Source organism: Homo sapiens, chromosome 6, assembly GCF_000001405.40.
Source record: "Homo sapiens chromosome 6, GRCh38.p14 Primary Assembly".
NCBI classification, from domain to species: Eukaryota; Metazoa; Chordata; class Mammalia; order Primates; family Hominidae; genus Homo; species Homo sapiens.
Genome location: NC_000006.12, coordinates 38117479 through 38123126, shown reverse-complemented (window position 1 = coordinate 38123126; position 5648 = coordinate 38117479). Strand labels below are relative to the sequence as shown.

Below are 5648 nucleotides of genomic sequence, written 5' to 3'. Positions count from 1 at the left end.
CTCCATGGCTTTCCAACATGTTTCATGTTTCTAAAAGTCAGATTAGATCATGTTGACTGTATTCAAAACTATTGATGGCTTCTCACTATAAACGAACATCCAAACTCCTCAGCCTGGAATCTGGAATCCTTTTCCTCCCTTTCTAACAGTCTGTCCTCATTTGACTCCAAGACTTCATCCAGCTGAACAGAGTTCATCTCCTAAATACCAGCTTTGCCCAAGCATCCCCTCATTTCCCATATCTGAGTCCCAATCTTCCTTTAAAGCCCCAATTGTGAAAGCCTGTCCAGAATCTTGAGTTGCAATTAATCTCTCCCTCTCCATATCACTATAACATAGGCTTATACCTTATACCTATACCTTGATAAATGCTTATGGTAGGCTGTTCCAGTTATTTTATGTATGTCTGCCTTCCTCTTGGGCCCAGCAAATACCTACTTGAGTGCATATTAAAATCACTTTGGGGGTCCTTGGAGAAGTGGCTGATTCCAGGATTGGGGAAATTTAGGGACACATGCTGTTACGCCAAAGAATAAGGGAATGCTCCCAAATCCTCCCCCCACCACTGAAGAAAGATGGGAAGTATGCCACAAGAGCACAGGAGCCAGCAGAAAATAACTTCCACTGGCTAAATCCAGGACAATTTGAGCACCAAAATAATTAAGTTCAGTCGGTTGTCCATATCCATGGGTTCCGCACTCAACGACCACAGATCAAAAATGTAGTTAGGCCTATGATGGTTGTGTCTGCACTGACACAGGTTTTTTCTTTTTGTCATTATTCCCTAAACAACACAGCATGTAACAATTTACATAGCATTTACATTGTATTAGGTATTCTAGGTAATCTAGAGATGACAAAGTATATGAGAGGATGTACGTAGGTTATGTGCAATGCTACACCATTTTATATCAGGGACTTAGGCATCCTTGAATTTGGTATCCATGGGAGGCTCTGGAGCCGATTCCCCGCAGATACCAGGGGACAACTGTACCATAACAAATCATAAACCATTAAAAAAGATAAGAGCCCATGAGTCCATGCCAGTAACAGATAAATAAATGGGGGAGAGGAGGTGGCTTCACTTATAGAAGAATGCTGAGTGCCAAATAGTAAATGCTGAGGGAGTGCTAGAGTTAGTAAATCATCATTTTGCAACCCTCCTAGCAGAGACTGGCTTAGGCAAGAATCATCAATGGATGATGAATCTAGGGAAAATTTTTCACGAGGAGCAGAGCATTTACTTGGTCTTAAAGTGTTTTCCCACAGATTGGTTTATAGGTGCAAGGGGAAAAATAGTAACTACATAGTGGAGAAACCAGGGAATGCCCTGACTAGGTGGGTATATCAAAATTAACATCAACAATGAGGGCTGATGGACATCTGTGCCTCCCATAAAACCCTGAGAAGGATGCGTGATTATTTATGTAGTAGTCTGGGTGAGAATTCGTAGCCTGAATCTAATTATGAAGAAATATCAGAATAAGGAGTGTTCTATTAAAACCCCAAATAAAGAGTGTTCTACTAAAAAATAGGTGAGGGGAGGGATAGAGGGTTGTATTCTTTAAAAATGTCAATATCATAAAAAAACAGAAAGGCTGTGAAAACATTCCATGGGAACTTGTTCTACCAAATCAGAACCTCTGGGTGTGGGTCCCAACAATCTGTTTTTAACATGCCCTCCAGGTAAATTGTGATGCTCCCTCAAGTTTTGGTTCTTGTTTTTTGTTGTTTGTTTTTTAGTTTTTAAGAGACATGGTCTTTCTCTGTTGCCCATGCTGCAGTGCAGTGGTGTGACCAAGACTCACTGTAGCCTCGAACTCCTGGGCTGAAAGCCATCCTCCCACCTTGGCCTCCCAAGTAGCTGGGACCACAGGGTTGCACCATCTTGCCTGGCAATAATTTTTCATAGAGACAGGGTCTTACTATGTTGCCTATCTCTACAAAAAATAGAGACGGGCAACAAGCTGGTTTTGAACTCCTGGCCTCAAGGGATTCCCCCACCTTGGCCTCCTAAAGTGTTGGGATTACAGGCATGAGCCACCACACCAGGCCCCTACTCAAGCTTGAAGCCACAGATTTAGACTGTAAGCTCTTAGATTCTGTATTTCTAGCTCCTATATTCCCCATAAAACCTAAGAAAATGCTTTCTGCATATTCAGATTTCAGTAAATGCTTGATGAATTTGGTTTGACAGTGAATGATAAGGCAGCAATGACCACTGAGGCACTTGGAGATGATCAACTACTCCAGAGGCCCCAGCTAACACATCACTTCAGGTTTCTAAAGTGAAGAGAAAACTTATTTTGAAAACAATAAAGGATGTCAGATTACTCAGGAGGTTAATAAAAGCACTACTGTTCCCAAAGGGAGCATATCCACTTAAGTTTGTTAATGCACCATCAATTGAAAATATGTTAAAACTTACACTCTTCAACTGGTATTTAAAAATTAGTTCTGCAGTTCTAGCAAGCATTGCACAGTGATTAAGAAGCCAAGAAGGCCGGGCGTGGTGGATCATGCCTGTAATCCTAACACTTTGGGAGGCCGAGGCAGGTGGACTGCCTGAGCTCAGGAGTTCAAGACCAGCCTGGGCAACATGATGAATCCCTGTCTGTACTAAAATACAAAAAATTAGCCAGGCGTGGAGGTGTGCACCTGTAGTCCCAGCTACTAGGGAGGCTGAGGCAGGAGAATTGCTTGAACCTGGGAGGCAGAGGTTGCAGTGAGCTGAGATCGTGCCACTGCACTCCAGCCTGGGCGACTCCGTCTCCACAAAAAAAAAAAAAAAAAAAAAAAAAAAAAAGGAAGCCAAGCTACGTGTATCAATCAAGATCTGCTCAGAGAAGACGGCATTCTTGTGGCTGTGACGTGGCCCAGATTTGATGAAGATGGCCAGATTGCAGAAGAACATCCTCTAGGTGTCAATTCAGGAGACAAGACTCCTGCAATGACAATGAGCTGATCAATTTGCTTACTGAGTAGAAAATGAAACAAATAGATCCATTTTCAGGCAACTGTTTTCTATCTTGAGAAGTTAAACTATTGAAGATGCTCTAAGATGCAGGATATAATCCCAGCCTCGCAACCACATGCCTTTTCTAATTGGCACCCTGAAAGATTTCACAGGAAAAGGGTGTTACTTTGGTATTGTTGATTTAAAGGTTATCTAGTCACAGGGAGGCAGAGGAGAATTCGTATTCAAAATTCCTCCTTACTGAAAGCCCATGAAGTGTCTTGGCAATTAACAATTCCTATCACCTCTAGCTGTTCCCTATGTAAGAAGGCTCAGAACTCGCCTTACAAATTGCTCTTTTGAAGATCAAAGGGAAGCTGAATGTGTCTGTGTGTGCTCTCGATGAGACTGTAATTTAATGGAATTTTTAGAGAAGGCCTCACTGGCAGTGTTTGGACGACAGCCCTGGGGCGGAGGATTCAGGGGAGCTTGGCCACTCTTCCCTTTGGAGCGTCTTCCCTGCCTTTAATTGGCACCTCATTAGAAATTAATGAAAATGACATCCTCTGTTCTTCCTGCTCTAGGCATCGAATGCTACAAAAAGGCCCATCACAATTCATAACACATTCAATTTATATAGCAATGGCTCTTAAGCATTATTTATGAGATGTGAATTTCTTGTCAGCAGTTAATAACCTGTACAGAATGGAAGGCAAATGGAAGAAAAGATTGCGAATATATATTTAAAAAAAGATTTTCTGCAGGGAAGAAGTGTTCTGTTTGAGCTCAAACTACCTTCCTGAGTCTTCACTTTCAGTAGTAAATTACTGTGTTATCCCCCCTCTAAAACCTTTCAGGGCAGTTAAACATCTCTCCAACATCCATGCATCCTCAAGGAAATAACAGTACAACTCACCCTTTCCTAGAGAGATCCAAGCAGGCAGGAGGAACACAAGAGCTCTTTGTCAAAAACAGTCCCAGACTTTTTTATGGCATGTTCCCATTGTTGTCCTTCATCTTTTGAAGGGTGACAGTCGACTCAGTCATTTTTCTGGGCACATAAGTGTAATGCTCTCAGTGGGTCAAACTGAATGCCCAGCTGACTCTAGGAAAGTTACATCCTGTTGAGACTGCAGAAAGCTCAGGGCTTTCTTCTCCAACAGAAAAAGTCAAATCTCCCTAAAAGCAGACTTTCGGAATTGGGCACAAGCCAAGAGACTACATGTTAGAACATTTAAAAAGGATGCATACTGAAGCAAACCCAATATGCATTTAGCAATCCAGCCTCCTGCCCACAAAGGTTAAGAGCATGGCAGAGTAATCTATATTTACCAGAGATTAGACAAGTTGGCTTTACTTGAGTGAATGTGAAGTCATCTAACATATATTACTGTTTTTTTTTTTTTCTTTTTTTTCAGGTGGATGCTAAGACCTTAGGAAATTAGGTAGTCTGCGTCAAAGCTGAAGGGTAAACTAGGAGACCTGGTTACATCTTTAGATCTCAGTGCTAAATTGTGAAATCTCCTGTTTGCCTGACAAGAAGAAGAAGCATTAGCCACTGCCGGGGACAAGACAGCATACTTGATAGACCAATTGCTTGATCCGCTATGGCAAATCCTGTGTAATACCCAGGATTCAGTTACTTTCAAGGAAGAAACAAGAACAGAAGGTTCAGGAAAGTCCCACAATTCTAACTGAGGAACAACCAAAAGCCTACGTTACAAAAGCAACAGCTAAAATGACCAGGTAGGCTCACAACACTGGTAACAGACTGAACTGCTCAAATTCCCTGAGAGTTCACATGAAGACCAAAGCAAGAATTTGCAGATCACAAAAGATGAGACAGCCTCTGCAGAGTGGAGCGAAGCTGGTTAGCCAGCAGAGCCCAGAGTTTCCTCAGCCATCCACAGTGTCCCTGCCCTACATCACCAAGAATTTAAAATTGCCTGGCAGGGTTGATCGAAATAGCCTAAGAATAAGGTTTTGAACTTACCTGGGCCATACTGCGTGCATGAACACACGGACATCTGAAAACTGCTGTCAGCCTCTATTCCCACCACCTATCCTAACCCTCTTTACGGTTTCCCAAAAATGCTTAGCACTATAACCAAAATGCCCTAAAAACCTTATCTGGTAACATTTAGACTCCCCATGCTGGTTCCGGTTTCTGCAGTTGAATATGCACTTCTAATCTCGTGGAGTACCGCATACACCAGAATGTGTAACAAACAGGTATCTGGTCAAAACAGGAATAGGAGTTCCAACGTAGTTTCTATGAAAAGCTAATAACCTCTCTCTTCCTTCCCATTTCCAATAGGGCAGATAATTGAGGAACCGTAGCAGCAAAGGCTGCCGCTTCAGAAGATAGTAAACTTCCAGTGACCATTACTTTATAACTGCTGAGTGAACTATTTAGTCCTGACTGTCAGCAATAGTACTTGTAGGATATCTTCGGCTGTCCCAGAAGTGAAAGGGGGCTTCTAAAGCTGACTTCTCAGAAAGAAAGAAATAGGATTCTCAGAGGCTACAGACAGGTCTCAAAGTCAACCTGATGACAGCTGAACTGGTCCTCAAACAATTTTATAATATTAGGTTTTAAAACCAGGAAATAAAAACAAGTACAGGAAACTGTAAATCAGCCTAAAATAATGCTGCTACACAATTTCGTTCCTATGTGTCATGATACATGTGG

The 5648-nt window shown here is 42.1% G+C and overlaps 1 protein-coding gene across 4 annotated transcripts in view, besides 1 other annotated feature; it reads right to left on the bottom strand.

Moving 5' to 3' along the window:
* Positions 1-5648, bottom strand: part of ZFAND3 (zinc finger AN1-type containing 3) — a 334898-nt gene that overhangs the window by 31498 nt on the left and 297752 nt on the right. The window lies entirely within an intron of this gene.
* Positions 2899-3701: an enhancer, noted in NCBI's record as "NANOG hESC enhancer chr6:38087202-38088004 (GRCh37/hg19 assembly coordinates)". NCBI's record gives its function as "activates a minimal SCP1, AML or CMV promoter by ChIP-STARR-seq in naive H9 embryonic stem cells {active_cell/tissue: H9 hESC(naive)}" and the evidence as "EXISTENCE:reporter gene assay evidence [ECO:0000049][PMID:30033119]".